The following is a 15,808-nucleotide window of genomic DNA, read 5'->3' as shown; positions in this document are numbered from 1 at the left end:
AGCTATGATACTTGGTAGGTTAGGGGTATTTAACGCATTTTTAACTCACAGTATTTTCTTTCTTTCTTTCTCTCTTTCTCTTTTTTTTTTTTTTGAGATGGAGTCTCGCTCTGTCACCCAAGCTGGAGGGCAGTGGCGCGATCTCGGCTCACTGTAAGCTCCGCCTCTCGGGTTCACGCCATTCTCCTGCCTCAGCCTCCCGAGTAGCTGGGACTACAGGCGCCCGCCATCACGCCCGGCTAATTTTTTGTACTTTTAGTAGAGATGGGGTTTCACTGTGTTAGCCAACTCACAGTATTTTCAACTTGTGATGGGTTTATTGGGATGCAGTCCCATCATAACTCGAGGAGCATCTGTGTCCCCAAATCCCAAAGCACCACTCCACAGATGACTTATCAATCACAGAGGAGAGGTGAGGGACAGGTGAGCCCTCACAATGGAGCCATCTGTCACCAACAGTCAGAAGAGCTGACCAGATGTGTCTCCCGTTTGACGTGGTGGGAAGTACACATCACCTGCGTGGAGTCCCAGCTGGAAATAGGATGTAAATCCAACCCTGAGGAATGCGTCAGCCAAATCTATCAGTATGTTCTCAAGGACAACTGACCAGGACCTTTCAGAGGGTTCAGTGTCATGAAGAGCTATGGGGAGCTGGGTTGGGGGACACTAAAGAGACACAAAGCCAAATGCAATGCATGAATGGTGTGTGGATCCTGCCTGAAAAAAAAAAAAAATACAACACCGAGGGAATTATGTATGGAGTGCACATCCAGTGATGTAATTTAACTAACACTGAACTTTCTCAGGCATGCTCATGTCTTCTCAGGTGCAGGAGAAGACACCTATCTGCAAAGTTTCAGAGAGAAATATTAGCAGTGCCTTGATCAACCTCAACCACCTTCTTTCAGATGATTTGGCAAAAGAAAAGAGAGAGAAAGAGACTGTATGTGTACACAGAGAGATGAGGGAGAGGGAGAGGAAGCAGGAGGATGAACGTGGGTGAAGGGTACACAGGTATTTGCTGTACCATTCTTTCAGTTCTTCTACAGATTTTACACTTTTTAAAAGTAAACAGATAATCACATTTGTAAGGGAAGCTCTGAAACTGACCTGCCTGGGTGTGAATCCTGGTTCCACTAGATACTAGTTGTACCATCTTGGGTCAACATCTCAACCTTCCCCAGCTGTTTGACTGTTTCCCCTGAGGTAAACAGAGACAATAAAATCTCTTTCAAAAGGGTAGTGGGAAGATTAAATAACCTTTTTGCAGGGGAAGACGGGACAGGGTCCCAGGAAGAGGGGACAGGGTCTCACTCTGTTGCCCGGGCTGGAATGCCGTGGCTCAATCTCAGCTCACTGCAACATTCACCTCCTGGGCTCAAGCAATCCTCCCACCTCAGCCTCTCTAGTAGCTGGGACTACAGGCACATGCCACCATCCTCAGCTAATGTTTTTAAAAATGTTTTGTAGCAATGGGGTCTTGCTATGTTTTCCACACTCATCTGAAACTCCTGGGATCAAGCAATCCATCCACCTTGGCCTCCCAAACTGTTGGGATTACAGGTGTGAGCTACCGTGCTTGTCCAGATTAAATGGCTTAATACTACAGAATTTACATCTGTCCCTGGGAATTGTTATAACTGCAAATGAGATTACAGTAGCAGATGGGCTTCCTACCTGACTCAGTAAGTTTTATAGAGCATAGTGACCTGTCCCAGGTCTTGAGAACGCACTCCACACCCATAAATCCCAAGTGAAAAACAGGTGACCTTAGAACCAGACCTCGAGATAAAGCAAATTAAAATTATATTAAAGCTATATTAGCCTGGGCACAGTGGCTCACGCCTGTAATCCCAGCACTTTGGGAGGCTGAGGCGGGAGGATCACAAGGTCAGGAGATCGAGACCATCCTGGCTAACATGGTGAAACACCATCTCTACTAAAAATACAAAAAAAAAAAAAAATTAGCCGGGTGTGGTGGTGGGTGCCTGTAGTCCCAGCTACTCAGGAGGCTGAGGCAGGAGAATGGCGAACCTGGGAGGTGGAGCTTGCAGTGAGCCGAGATCGCGCCATTGCACTCCAGCCTGGGCGACAGAGTGAGACTCCATCTCAAAAAACAAAAACAAAAACAAAAACAAAAAAAAACAGGTGACCTTAGGACCAGATCTCGAGATAAAGTAAAGTAAAATTATATTAAAGCTATATTAGACTGGGCGCAGTGGCTCACACCTGTAATCCCAGAACTTTGGGAGGCCAAGGCAGGCAAATCACCTGAGGTCAGGAGTTCAAGACCAGCCTGGCCAACGTGGTGAAAGCCCGTCTCTACTAAAAAGACAAAAATTAGCCAGGCATGGTGGCTTGTGCCTGCAATACCAGCTACTCAGGAGGCTGAGGCAGGAGAATCGCTTGATCCCGGGAGGCGGAGGTTGCAGTGAGCCGAGATTGCGTCACTGCACTCCAGCCTGGGCAACAGAGTGAGACTCTGTTTCGGAGACAAAAAAAAAAAAAAGCTATTTTAGTCATTGTTAGTGCGCACAGGCCAAAGAAGGAAGGAATTTGGAATCTGGCCCCTTCCTCACTCCACACACACAAAATTCACTCAAAATGGATCACAGACATAATGGACAAATTAAAACCATAAAATTCTTAGAGAGAAATACACAAGTTAAGTCTTTAAGACTGTGGGTTAGGCAAAGCCTTCTTAGACATGGCATCAAAAACACAAGCAACAACAAGAAAATAGGAAGATTGGACTTCCTCAAAAGTAAAAACTTTCAACGAGGTGCAGTGGCTCATGCCTATAATTCCAGCACTTTGGGAGATTGAGGCAGGAAAATTGCTTGAGGCCAGGAGTTTGAGGCCAGCTTGGGCAATATTGTGAGCTCCTTTTTCTACAAAAAAATAAAATAATAAAAATAAAATTAAAAACTTTTGAGCTTCAATGGAAACCATTAAGAAAGTGAAAAGACAATCTACAGAATGGGAGGAAATATTTAGGAAATAAATATCTGATAGGCTGATAGGAGATTTGTATCTATAATATATAAAGAACTCTTACAACTCAACAACAAAAGGAGAACACAGTGAAAAAGTGGGCAAGGGGTTTGACTAGATAGTTCTTCAGAGAAGGTATAAATGGGGCGATAAGCACGTGAAAAGATGCTCAACATGGGCCAGGCGTGGTGGCTCACGCCTGTAATCCCAGCACTTTGTGAGGCTGAGGTGGGAGGATCACTTGAGGCCAGGAGTTCAAGACCAGCTAGGCCAACATGGTGAAACCCAGTCTCTACTAAAAATAGAAACAAAATTAGCTGGGCATGGTGGTGCATGCCTGTGGTTCCAGCTACTCGGGAGGCTAAGGCACAAGAATCACTTGAACCGGGGAGGTGGAAGCTTCAGTGAGCCAAGAATGTGCCACTGCACTCCAGCCTGGGTGACAGAGCAAGAGTACGTCAAAAAAAAAAAAAAAAAAAAAAAAAGCCAGTCACGGTGGCTCACACCTGTAATCCCAGAACTTTGGGAGGCCGAGGCAGGCGGCTCACCTGAAGTCGGGAGTTCAAGACCAGACTGACCAACATGGAGAAACCCCATCTCTACTAAAAAAAAAAAAAATACAAAATTAGCCAAGCGTGGTGGCGCAGGCCTGTCATCCCAGTTACCTGGGAGACTGAGGCAGGAGAATCACTTGAACCTGGGAGGTGGAGGTTGGGGTGAGCCGAGATCGGCTATTGCCCTTCAGCCTGGGCAACAAGAGCGAAACTTCATCTCAAAAAAAAAAAAAAAGAAAGAAATTTCCCTTTTCAGCCCCACCCCCCCCCACCCCCACCCTACACCCCTGCCCAGGGACCTCATTCTAACTTGATTACCTCTATCTCCAAATACGTTCCCATTCTGAGACGCCAGGGGTGAGGACTTCAACACAGGCATTTGGGGAGGGGCCACAGTTCAGCCCATGACAGCATGGAGCCTCCCTGAGCACATCCCCGCCACCCACTGTCACGTCGTGCTGCTGCGCTTCCTCCTCAGCACTTACTACGTCCTAAAGTTCTCTGTTCACTCTTCCATTTGCCTGCTTCCTGCCCATCTCCCAGTCCTTCTTTCCGTCCCTCACAAGGACACGGCTTCCATGATAACAAGGCCCTTTAGCGTCTGTCCGCTGCGGCATCTCCAGGGCCTGGCAGACCTGGCACTCTACACATTTCTGCTGAATGACAGAAGGCATGAACTCACTCATCCCATTTGATGGTCCACAGTGCACGGGGAGACGCAGGGGAGGATTCCACACCATGGCGGGCACGGCCCTGCCTCCAAGGAAAACCGCAGTTCAGCAGAAAAGATGCAACACAACCCACTCACGACGTGAAATGAACAGAGGGCGAAGAGACTTCAGTGTAATCTGAGGGTTTCACATTTACAGAAAACTAGTTCCGAAGTCAACTCTCGGAAAACCAACAAAATGTACCTTTAACAAAGGAAACGTCTTAAGGAGAGAAGAACTCCTGGACGATGATGACGTTGTGCAGCTGGTCCTGAGGGAGACGGGCGGTGCCTGGGCGGACAGTGCACAGAGGTGAGTGTGCTCGACCTCAGAACATGCCCCATGAGTCCACAGGAGGGCACCGTGCATGACTCACAGGCTTGGGACGGAAAGCGGTTCAGAGCCAGCGTCAGGCACCCCACTCTGGGACTAAGACAAGTGAAATGTCAGGATCCAAGATGCACCTGACACCTTTGTGTTTGAACTCACTTGATTAGAAAAACAAACAAACAAACAAAAAAACTGGCAAGCAAAAATTGCCTACATTTACAGTGTACAACATGATGTGTTTTTGTTTTCTTTTGTTTTGTTTGAGATGGAGTCTCGCTCTGTCACCCAGGCTGGAGTACAGTGGTGTGATCTCAGTTTACTGCAACCTTCGCCTACCAGGTTCCAGCAATTCTCCTGCCTCTGCCACCCTAGTAGCTGGGATTACAGGTGCACGTCATCACACCTGGCTCATTTTTGTATTTTTAGTAGAGACAGGGTTTCATCATGTTGGCCAGGCTGGTCTCGAACTCCTGACCTCAGGTGATCCACCCACCTCAGCCTCCCAAAGTGCTGGGATTATAGACGTGAGCCACCGCGCCCGGCCACAACATGATGTTTCGATACACATCTACCCCGTGGGATGGCTAAAGCAAGCTAATTAACATATGCATTACTTCATACTTGTTTTGTGTGGTGAGAACACTTAAGATCTACTCTTAGCAATTTTCAAGGATATCGTTATTAACTGTAGTCGCCATGACGTGCAATACAGATCTTTTGAACTTATTCCTCCTAATTGGAAGTTCAGGTCCTTCAACCAACATCTCCCCACTCCCCACACTCCCAGTCTCTGCTACACACCATTCTACTCTCTGCTCCTATGAGAACTCACTTGATTTCTTATTTACCCCAGATGAGCTCTCCAAGCTCTTAGCAGGCAGAAGGAAACTTCATTTGAGACTCTTTGTAAAAGCCTTTGTGGCTAGGATGCCATTTTCAGCAGAGCTGATAAAGGTTTACAGAGACAGTGCCTCTGTTCTACCCTGCAGAACAGTCATAAGACACTCAGCAGCCAGGCCCCTCCCCAAAACAAGTGAAGCTGATCTGTGAGGGGGGGGCACCATCACCTGTATTTATGGTTTTTTAAGCTTCAAGGTCATTCTGGTGTATACCTGGGGCTGGAAACCACCATGTCTAGATTTTCTTGCAGAGAGGTCGGCTTGCATTTTAATGGTTTTTACTAAGCGTCTGTCAAGTCAAACAAGCATTGCTTGTCATGTGGCGATGGAGTTGGGCTACACGTGCCCACAGCACATTCGGATCTTACATAATTGGGGTTACGGTGATTCTCAATGAGGGTGCCAATGGCATTTGGGTACAACTCTGATGCAATGAATTGATTAGAATCAATTCAGATAGCTGAAGTGTTCAATCATGGAATAAGTGTCTATCACTTTTGAAGGAAGTGATCTTTTGACCTTTCAGAATTAGCTATATTCTGGCACCTTGAACCGGCACCCCACCTCCCTGCAGCTGCTCCATCCCAAATACATGCCAGTAGCATCTTCCTAATGATGAAAACTCAAAAGGCCCTTCGCTTTTCAAAGTGGGAAAGGCCTCGCACTGCCGTATCCACACACACACTTACAAACACTTACAGACACACACACACACTCAGAAACTAGTCAAGGTTAAAGTGACACAGAGTCGCAGCTGCCTTTGAATGCCTTCACATCCCACTTCAATCACTAGGGCTGGAGTCTGGAAGCCAAGAGGCCAGGAATCCCCTCCTTCCTGCAGGTGCTCGTCTCTGCTTTAGAAGATGGGCTTCCTCTCTCTCAGGCAGAGCGTGTGTGTGTGCGTACACGTGTGTGTACGTGCGTGTGCATGTGCGTGTGTACATGTGTGTGCATGCATGCATCTGTAGGTGCATGTGTGTGAGCGTGTGTGTGTGTGCCTGTGTGTGTGCGTGTGTGTGTGAGCCTAATCATGATGGCTGGGATAAGCAAATAACTGTTTATATACTTTTAATGTAATTCTCTGCAGGATTCAACTCCGTCAAAAAGCTCAAAAGTGGAAACAACTGATTAGTTGTAGAATTGTTCACCCCGCTGCCCACGAATCCAGCTAAAGTTTGATTTTTGGAGTTTATCAGTAAGAAACGTGTTTCTGCAAATGGGACGTTTCTATGCTTCCATGGGAAAATACAGCTAATTCTGAAAGGTCAAAAGGTCACTTCCTTCAAAAGTGATAGGCACTTATTCCATGATTAAACACTGTGGCTATCTGAATTGAATTCTAATGAAATGCACCCTTACCACTCCTCTAAAATCAGTTTCATTCAAAACACTTCGCCCAAAGGTTATTTTGGAGTTTTCAAAAGGAACACAACATCAAGATTTTAAGGCAGTCAGAGTTGCTAACAGCTGCCTTTGCTTTGAAGTAAATGAGGTTTGACAGCGATTCATCCGCAGTGAAGTGCTGTGTGTGCTAGTTATAAAATCATTCCCGAATTTCACTCTACCTTTCCTTAAGAAGTTGAAAAAAAATGTATATTTACCTACAAAGGAGCAGTTCACAATAGTTCAAATACTGGTACCATAAGCATATACACTTTTAAAGCCTACATGACGAATAAAATGTATTGCCCCGAGGACTGCAGTTGGGAGGTAATTTGAAAGGACAATGGAGATTAATACTAGTGACAACCCCTAAGCAGAGGTGCTGACATCTGGCTGAGGATGATCACGTTACAAACTCACACTTTGTGCTCTGAAAGCACCTAACAGCAGATTCATGGGCACGGACACACAGCTTCTGCCATCTCCCTCTGTGTTTTTTTCTTTGGGGTCTTTTTTTTCTTTTATAAATGATGCCAAATTAAGAGCAAATATTATGCATACAACGTCAGTCATTTCTTAAATGTAAGGAGAGGATTTTTTTCCTAGTTTATTTACCATGTTCTCTCTGGACCCCAAAGGTTTGCAGATCTTAACTTTTGTCAGTAAGTTCAGTACATTCACCTGGTATCCAAGGGGATACATGGATATCCCAAAGACTTATGATAAAGTAACAGCGTGAACCTAAGTAGACACTGACATAAGAAATCTACGTATTCAGAAAGAACACATGAAACCTGGATCAAAGACCTCAGGAAGCAGTGGCCACATGTTTCCTTTCGACAGGAAAACAGGCTTTATCACGTGCCCATCAATGCTTGTTTACGCCATGTCTGTCGTGTGCAGTGTGTGTGCTGAGAACCACCAAGGGAATCAGGCTTGTGGTCCTGGGTGCTTTAATCGCATGAGGAAAACCCAGTGCTAAAGGCTGGCGTTGGTGTGAGTGAGCCCAGCCTGCCCTTTTCTGGGTTCATTCTTCAGGAGCCCCCAGGGCAATGAACTAACAACGAAACAAGAGAAGGAACATCTTTTTCTGTGAGACACATGCTGGTGATTCTCTCTAGGACCTAATATCAAGCACCGAAGATAATGGTTAAATACCCCAGTCAAAAACCTCTCAAGGAGGAGAAGAGATGTAGGTGGTCCCATTGCAAAGGGAATGCGAGGATTGCCAGGATCTTTTACAGAAGAGGGGACACAGCCCAGCCAGGGCCTGCCTGGGTTTCACGAGCACGGCCTTCCCACTCCAGCCTCGGTCCTGAAAACACAGATATGCTGGTGGGGAATTGCAGAGTGGTGCTGGGATAGACACATTTTGTCAAAAAAGATGAAGCGATTTTATAGAGCTGACTGCTAGATGAAGAGATCAGATCCACCCTGGCCCCCACGCCACCCCGTCATCTACGAACACTACCCTGCCCCTGTCTCCTGCCACCTGCAAAGTCCAGCCCTTTCTTCCCCTCCCTTAAATTCTGGAATTACAGAACATATGGAAAAGAAAGAGAAAAGATCAAGTAAAGGGAGGCTTCCTGCAAAAATACCTTCAATCTGTTTCCTGTCTCAATCTTTTGTAACCTTAGCTGCCTTCCTGTCAGAGATATTTAGAAGGTCAGAGAGGCAATGCTATCCCAGTTTTATTTTACATCGTAGCTGGCTAGGAGAGATAGCAATGAGAAATGAAATGATATTTTTAAACTCCCAGATAGAACTTCAAAAGTACTTTTGAACTCCAACAGGTATGCTGCTTGGCCTTTTTAGCTTTGAGAAGTGCAGAATGTTATTGACAAAGACGTCACCTCCGTAAATAGGAGAAGGAGTGATGGACAATTTCACACTCCCACTTTCAGTACTCGAGTTACATAATTACCTCCAAAATTGCAGCTGACATGCCTTCAGAGACAGAGCTATTCACCACCGCGAAGCAATTCTTCACCACCGCGTGCAGATCTTCTTGAGGCATCTCTCCAATCAATCGTACCCCAGCGGCTCTGAAACACAAAGCAGGAAGAGTGGCTCTGATTCCAAGAATCTCATGGGTAGGCAGCTGGGAGGAGGAGAGATGACAATTTGGGTGTAATACTCTAGATCAGCAAGTAAGCATTGTTGACCAAGCGTTCAGCCAGGAGAACTATACTGGGGTGGAAATCCTTACAGCTCATGTCCCTGACAAGGGAGGGAGGGAGTTGCTTAACATGTCTGCTTTTGTTTTCCATATGCTCCATAAAGACACCTGCTCTCAAGGACTAGAAGAGTCAGAGACAAGGTTCATGCCATTTTCTCTGCATGATTTAGAGAACATTTTTCTAATAATTCAACTTTTTTTCAAATAATTCTTTAAAATACTAATGAGACAATAAGAATAGAAATAATAGAAATAGGCCGGGTGCAGTGGCTCACACCTGTAATCCCAGCATTTTGGGAGGCTGAGGCGGGCAGATCACCTGAGATCAGAAGTTGGAGACCAGCCTGGCGAACATGGCGAAACCCCGTCTCTACTAAAAATACAAATATTAGCCAGGCGTGGTGGTGCGCACCTGTAATCCCAGCTACTTGGGAGGCTGAGGCAGGAGAATTGCTCGAACCCGGGAGGCGGAGATTGCAGTGAGCTGAGATTGTGCCATTGCACTCCAGCCTGGATGACAGAGCAAGACTAGGTCTCAAAAAAAAAAAAAAAAAAAAAAAAAAAAAAAGGAGGCCGGGCGCAGTGGCTCACGCCTGTAATCCCAGCACTTTAGGAGGCCAAAGCGGGTGATCACGAGGTCAGGAGATCGAGACCATGGTGAAACCCTGTCTCTATTAAAAATACAAAAGATTAGCCGGGCGCAGCGGCGGGTGCCTGTAGTCCCAGCTACTCAGGAGGCTGAGGCAGGAGAATGGCGTGAACCCAGGAGGTGGAGCTTGCAGTGAGCTGAGATCACGCCACTGCACTCCAGCCTGAGCGACAGAGCGAAACTCTGTCTCAACAACAACAACAACAAAAAAGAATGGAAATAGAAATACTAGAGACGATAATGTCACAAAAGCCCTGTTCCCAGCACACAGCGCTGACAGCTATTTTGTCATAGACATTTTGCCTTGTTCTATTTTTTTCACCAGACAATGTAAATCTTCGCCTTTCTTCGATCTTCCCCGTCCCCACCGCTGGCCACCACTCTCATGGCTCTGCCAGGCCTCCCTTCCCCGAGCAGGTGATACTTTTGCACACACGCGTCTGCACCTAGGAGCAATCTAAAGATCCCTGATTATAGATGGGGAAAAAACAGTCTTTGTCAGTGCCCTTTGTGGTTGGTGTGGCCAATGAGTCTGGCTGGAATCCTGGGGGGCTGTGAAGACACCACTTTACAGGGGGCTGACCCAAATAAGACCCACATCCTTCTGGTCTGCTCATTCCCATCACCCCACTTAAAATGCAGACTGATGACACAGCTCTATAGCTACCATGTCACCTTCAGGATGGGAGCCACAGGCTGAGGAAGTCAGGACAGAGACAGGAGCCAAATCCCTGAGGTCTCAGGGAAGCCTCCGTTTTGCTCCTTGAATGACCACCCTCAGACTTGTTGATGTGAGCAATGAAAGTTCAATCTGTTCAAGCCTGTGCTGTTGGGTTCCTGGCCGACAAATGCAACTTATAACCAACACACCAACAAATTGCCCTCCAGGCAGGCTGTGACAAAGGGCAATACCCCTCCATTCTTCCAAATCCTTGAGAGTTTAAATCTTTCCATTCTGGCCAATGTGATCCATTAAAAATTATAATCACAAAGTGATTTTTATTGGCCTTTCCCTGGGCAAATAATAGTGCCTAGGATGCCACGGGCTCGCCGGGAAGATGCATGAGGAAACAGTTGGAAACTGCTTGGAATAGTGCCTGGGACTGGATAAATGTGAGTTCAGGTAACCCAGGGGCCACTCAGGCTTCCCGTTCTGCAAAATGACTGGTCTCCACCAACTCTTACCTTTTCACTTTGGCTTTCACTTCCCTTGTAAACACTGGATCGACCTGAAAAGAGACAAAGATAAATGTCAGCGGTCGCCGCCTGCTAGTGGCGCTGCCAGCCGGCCAGCACGGGCCAGGCCAAAGCCCTGGTGCCAGCGCGGCGTGGGCCTCGGTCTGCGGCCACGGGGGTGTCCTCGCGGCTGCTGCGTGTGGTGATCATGGGGGCCCCCGGCTCGGGCAAGGGCACTGTGTCGTCGCGTATCACTCAATACTTCGAGCTAAAGCACCTTTCCAGCGGGGACCTGCTCCGGGACAACATGCTGCGGGGCGCAGAAATTGGCCTGTTACATGTTCTCACTCATAGGTGGGAATTGAACAATGAGAACACATGGACACAGGGAGGGGAACATCACACACCGGGGCCTGTTGGGGGTCGGGGGCTGGAGGAGGGATAGCGTTACGAGAAATACCTAATGTAAATGACGAGTTGATGGGTGCAGCAAACCACCATGGCACATGTATACCTATGTAACAAACCTGCACATTGTGCACATGTACCCCAGAACTTTATATATATATATACATATATATATAAATTGACGTGTTAGCCAAGGCTTTCATTGACCAAGGGAAACTCATCCCAAATGATGTCATCTTGGCGTGGCCCTTCAGGAACTGCAAAATCTCACCCAGTCTAGCTGTTGGATAGTTTTCCAAGGACACTTCCACAGGCAGAAGCCCTAGATAAAGCTGATCAGACCGACACAGTGATTAACCTGAATATGTCCTTTGAGGTCATTAAACAACGCCTTACTGCTCACTGGATTCATCTCACCAATGGCCAAGTCTACAACATTGGATTCAACCCTCCCACAACTGTGGGCATTGATGCTCTGACAGGGGAGCCGCTCATTCAGCGTGAGGATGATAAACCAGAGATGGTTATCAAGAGACTAAAGGCTTATGAAGCCAAACAAAGCCAGTCCTGGACTATTACCAGAAAAAAAGCGGTGTTGGAAACATTCTCCAGAACAGAAACCAACAAGATTTGGCCCTGTGGATATGCTTTCCTCCAAACTGACGTTCCTCAAACAAGCCAGGAAGCTTCAGTTACTCTATAAGGAGAAATGTGTGGAACTATTAGTAGTAAGATGGGCAAACCTCATAGTCCTTGCATTTAGAAGCTGCTTTTCCTAAGAATTCCAGTATGTATGAATTCTTTGAAAATTATATGACTTTTATTTCTACTGATTTGATTCTAGATACTAAGGATGTGCCAAATGAGTCAGATACTAAGATTCATCCTTTGAAATCATCTAGTGTGTTTTACGCAGCTATCCTCAAAAACATCAGTGATGTCTGAACTTTTAAAACATCTGTTGGAGCAAAATTAAAAGAGCATTTGGTAGTAATCTAAGTTTTTGTTCAGTTAATAAGTGGTTGATAAAGCTTCCGTATTTTCCCGGAAAAGTTAAAAAAAAGTTACATGTCATTGGGGGAAAATATGTGATCAGAAATGTTTGCACAGATCGATGCCACAAAAGACATCTCCAGCGTTGTGGAACATGGGGAGACACTATATAAAATACCAGAAAGAAAGCAAGTGGGTTTACAGATTTGTTGTAAGACACAAATCCTCTGCTACTAAGAAATGTGTATGCTAACCATATATGCTGTATTTATTTTGTTGTTAAGCATACTTTCAGTTTACTCAGAATTTTCAATTTGCTACAACAATGTATCCATTCGCATATAGAAAAATATTACTTTAAGATGACTTGTTTCCTTTGAAAATACATATGTACTGAGGGTTATGATTTATGTCAGAAATTAACATTATAAGTTCTTGGACAAGCACCGAAGTTGAATGAATTTTCAACAAAATGTAATTAAAATCTATATGTTTTCAGATGTGACTCAGGTTGAGAAATGTGTTTTAGGATCTACTTGCCGGTTCCTCTTTTTGATCCAAATGTATGATCCGCCCTGATAAATAACAAGTTATAGTGCCACTCCCTGCCAAAAAAAAAAAAGAGAGAAAAGAGAAAACCTGTGGCACTATGTAAATAAAGTAAGCACACTTTGTCGTTAGTAAATAGATGAGATATGCCTGGGAAACGCTCCCTTGGCATAAATAGCAATCAATCATAATTAGTAAACAGGTGTGCCAATAAAAAGACTTTACACAATAGGTTAACCAGGACCAGTAAGTGAGTTTCCTGAAGGAGTTCTTTGTTCCTGATCCAAGAAATCGATACCTGTTAGCATTCACTGCCACCTTATTTTAAAGGGAAAGAACTCTGTTGGTGTCATCTGAGAAGCCATTTAAAAACTGGAATCTAGGCCGGGCGTGGTGGCTCACGCCTATAATCCCAGCACTCTGGGAGGCCGAGGCGGGTGGATCATGAGGTCAGGAGATCGAGACTATCCTGGCCAACATGGTGAAACCCCGTCTCTACTAAAATACAAAAAATTACTCGGGCTGGATGGCGCGCCTGTAGCCCCAGCTAATCAGGAGGCTGAGGCAGGGGAATCACTTGAACCCGGAAGGTGGATGTTGCAGTGAGCCTAGATCGTGCCACCGCACTCCAGCCTGGGGGGCAGAGCGAGACTCTGTCTCAAAAAAAAAAAACAAAAAACAAAAACAAACAAACAAAGAAAATTGGAATCTAAAGTGATTCCTGAGTGGGGCAGCAAGGATGGCTGCTGATGTGCTGTGTGGTCTGGGAGAAGTGGGGCAGTAGGAGAGGTGGACGGAAAACCTGATGGCGTCTTCCATGGCGTATTTACTCTTTACTTGGTGCCAGAACAAATGAAACAAGCCCTCGTACAAGCTGTTATTAATTGCCTTTAAAAATCTTTTCCATTTTTTCCCCAGGTACTTAAAATACAAGTGCCAGTAAGCAGTTCTTATGTATTTTTGGGGAAAAAAATTTATTTTCCTTTTCTTCTGATATTTTAAAAATTCATTGATCTTTCAAGATGAACCAAAGTTTCTTAAAAGAATTATAGTACACACTTCATTCTTTATAAAACTTTCTATAATGCCTTATTTAAATGTTAATCGTACGTGCTTTCTAAAAATGTTGTGAACTACCAAACTTGTGGATTATCACTAGGTTATCAGGCATACATTAGTCTTTATCAGAATAAAATGAAATTTCATAACTGAGGCTATTACTTTGTCCTTGGTCCTTCACAGGGCCTGCTCCACCCCACCTTCCTTCCTGCTGCCTGATGTCTCAGTGGCTTCTGAATGACTGTGTTCTAATAAATGACCTTAAAACAGTGGAAAAAAAAAAAAGAAGACACATGTTAGCAAAAGCCTGAAATGAAGCTAAGTCTCCAGGAATTACATCAAATGGCAGCAGAGCCAGACTCAACAATTCAGAGAGGGAAAAAAATAAGTAGGAAATGGTACTATGAGCCCAGCTATTAAATAATAAAAACAATAATAGTAAAAAAAAAAAAAAAAAAAAAAAAGAGAGAGAGAGAGAGACCAGGCACGGTGGCTCATGCTGGTGGCTCATGCCTGGAATCCCAGCATTTTAGGAGGCTGAGGAGGGGGGATCATGTGATCAAGAGTTCGAGACCCGCCTGCTGGCCAACATGGTGAAAGCCTGTCTCTACTAAAAACACAAAAATTGACTGGGCGTGGGGGTAGAGTGAGCACCTGTAATCCCAGCTACTTGGGAAGCTGAAGCGGAAGAATCGCTTGAACCCGGGGTGCGGAGGTTGCAGTGAGCCGAGATGACCGCATTGCACTCCAGCCTAGGTAACAGAGTGAGACTCTGTCTCAAAAAAAAAAAAAAAAAAAAAGAGAAAGAGAGAGAGAAAGAAGAGACAGAATGTTCCAAAGAATACATATAGACTCTGGTTAGGAGCCTGTATGGCTACACCTGAGTGTGGTGAGTGAGAACCCTTCAGCCAACTTAAGGTCTTGAGACAGAGTCGTTTCCAGAAATGGGACAATTTGACAACCACCCAATATTGCAGTGGAAGTGTTGCTTAAATGATGCAGAAGGATTTTGTCATAAAATCATTCAGGCAGAATAGGTTGGAATCCTTAGTAAGTCTATGACCAAAGGTCTGACCATATCAAAATATTTTTTAACAGGATGACTTCGCAGAAACAGTTTGAAAGGCCAGGACCTGATCATCAGCTGATGAATGAGTAGACGTGATGTGCCAATCCATACAAAGGAGTGCCACTCAGCCGTGACAAGGAAGTGCCAACTTAGGCAGCAACAAGGGTGAGCTTGGAAAACACGATGCCACGTGAGTTACACCAGACAGGAAAGACCACAGAGTGTATGATTCCATGTCTATGAAATGGCCAAAGCAGGCAAATCACAGAGACAGAAAGTAGATTGGTGGTTACCCAGGGGTCACTCAGGATCTAATTAGGGGTTATTGGGGTGAGGCGGAAATGGGAAGTGACTGCTTAGTGGATAGAGGGTATCCTCTTGGGGAGAGAAAAAATATTCAGGAATGAGATAGGTGTGATGGTTGCACAACTTTGTGAATAGACTAAAACCCACTGGCTTGTACCCTCTAAAATGGTGAATTTCGTGGCATGTGAATTCCACCTCAACTTTTTAAAGGCCAGGGGCAGCCTTTTCATTAGTCACAACCTAACATCCTCCAGTCCCGACTTGACTCCTGCTTTGCATCTGGAAGGAACAGGTGCTTTGGGGCAGGGACTATTTCCGTCCTGTTGCATTCCTGAAGGCTAATAACACACTTGTTGAATTCATGCAAAAATTAATAGCAACATGTTCAAACTTATCGCTCCTCAAAGACAGGCCAGAAGTTTTTAAGCAAACTCGTAGTGGATGTGTGGAGGCCAGAAAGAGGCAGCACCAGACTGAGGGGACTCCGGATACAGAGGGCCAGGGTCAGGCCACCCAGGCACCAAACTAGCCTCATGCACATTAACGGACC

At 45.4% G+C, this 15,808-nt stretch overlaps 1 protein-coding gene and 1 pseudogene across 12 annotated transcripts in view; one reads left to right on the top strand and one right to left on the bottom strand.

Moving 5' to 3' along the window:
• Positions 1-15,808, bottom strand: part of GLT1D1 (glycosyltransferase 1 domain containing 1) — a 131,491-nt gene that overhangs the window by 28,716 nt on the left and 86,967 nt on the right. For 11 of the 12 annotated variants that reach the window (NR_159493.1, NR_133646.2, NM_001366889.1 and 8 more), the window contains 2 exons: positions 10,884-10,927; positions 8,795-8,915 (listed from right to left, as the gene is read on the bottom strand). Coding sequence is in view for 9 of the 12 variants with exons in the window: in NM_001366889.1 (NP_001353818.1) it covers positions 8,795-8,915; positions 10,884-10,927 (165 nt within the window). In the remaining 3 variants the exon portion in view is untranslated. Of the gene's footprint in view, positions 1-1,110; positions 1,202-8,794; positions 8,916-10,883; positions 10,928-15,808 lie in introns of all 12 variants that reach the window. The other variant, XR_001748588.2, reaches the window with a different exon arrangement.
• On the top strand, positions 10,957-14,154 carry AK3P6 (AK3 pseudogene 6; annotated as a pseudogene).

Source organism: Homo sapiens, chromosome 12, assembly GCF_000001405.40.
Source record: "Homo sapiens chromosome 12, GRCh38.p14 Primary Assembly".
NCBI lineage: Eukaryota > Metazoa > Chordata > Mammalia > Primates > Hominidae > Homo > Homo sapiens.
Note: the sequence above shows the minus strand (reverse complement) of the source record. Positions and strands in the feature narration are given on the sequence as shown.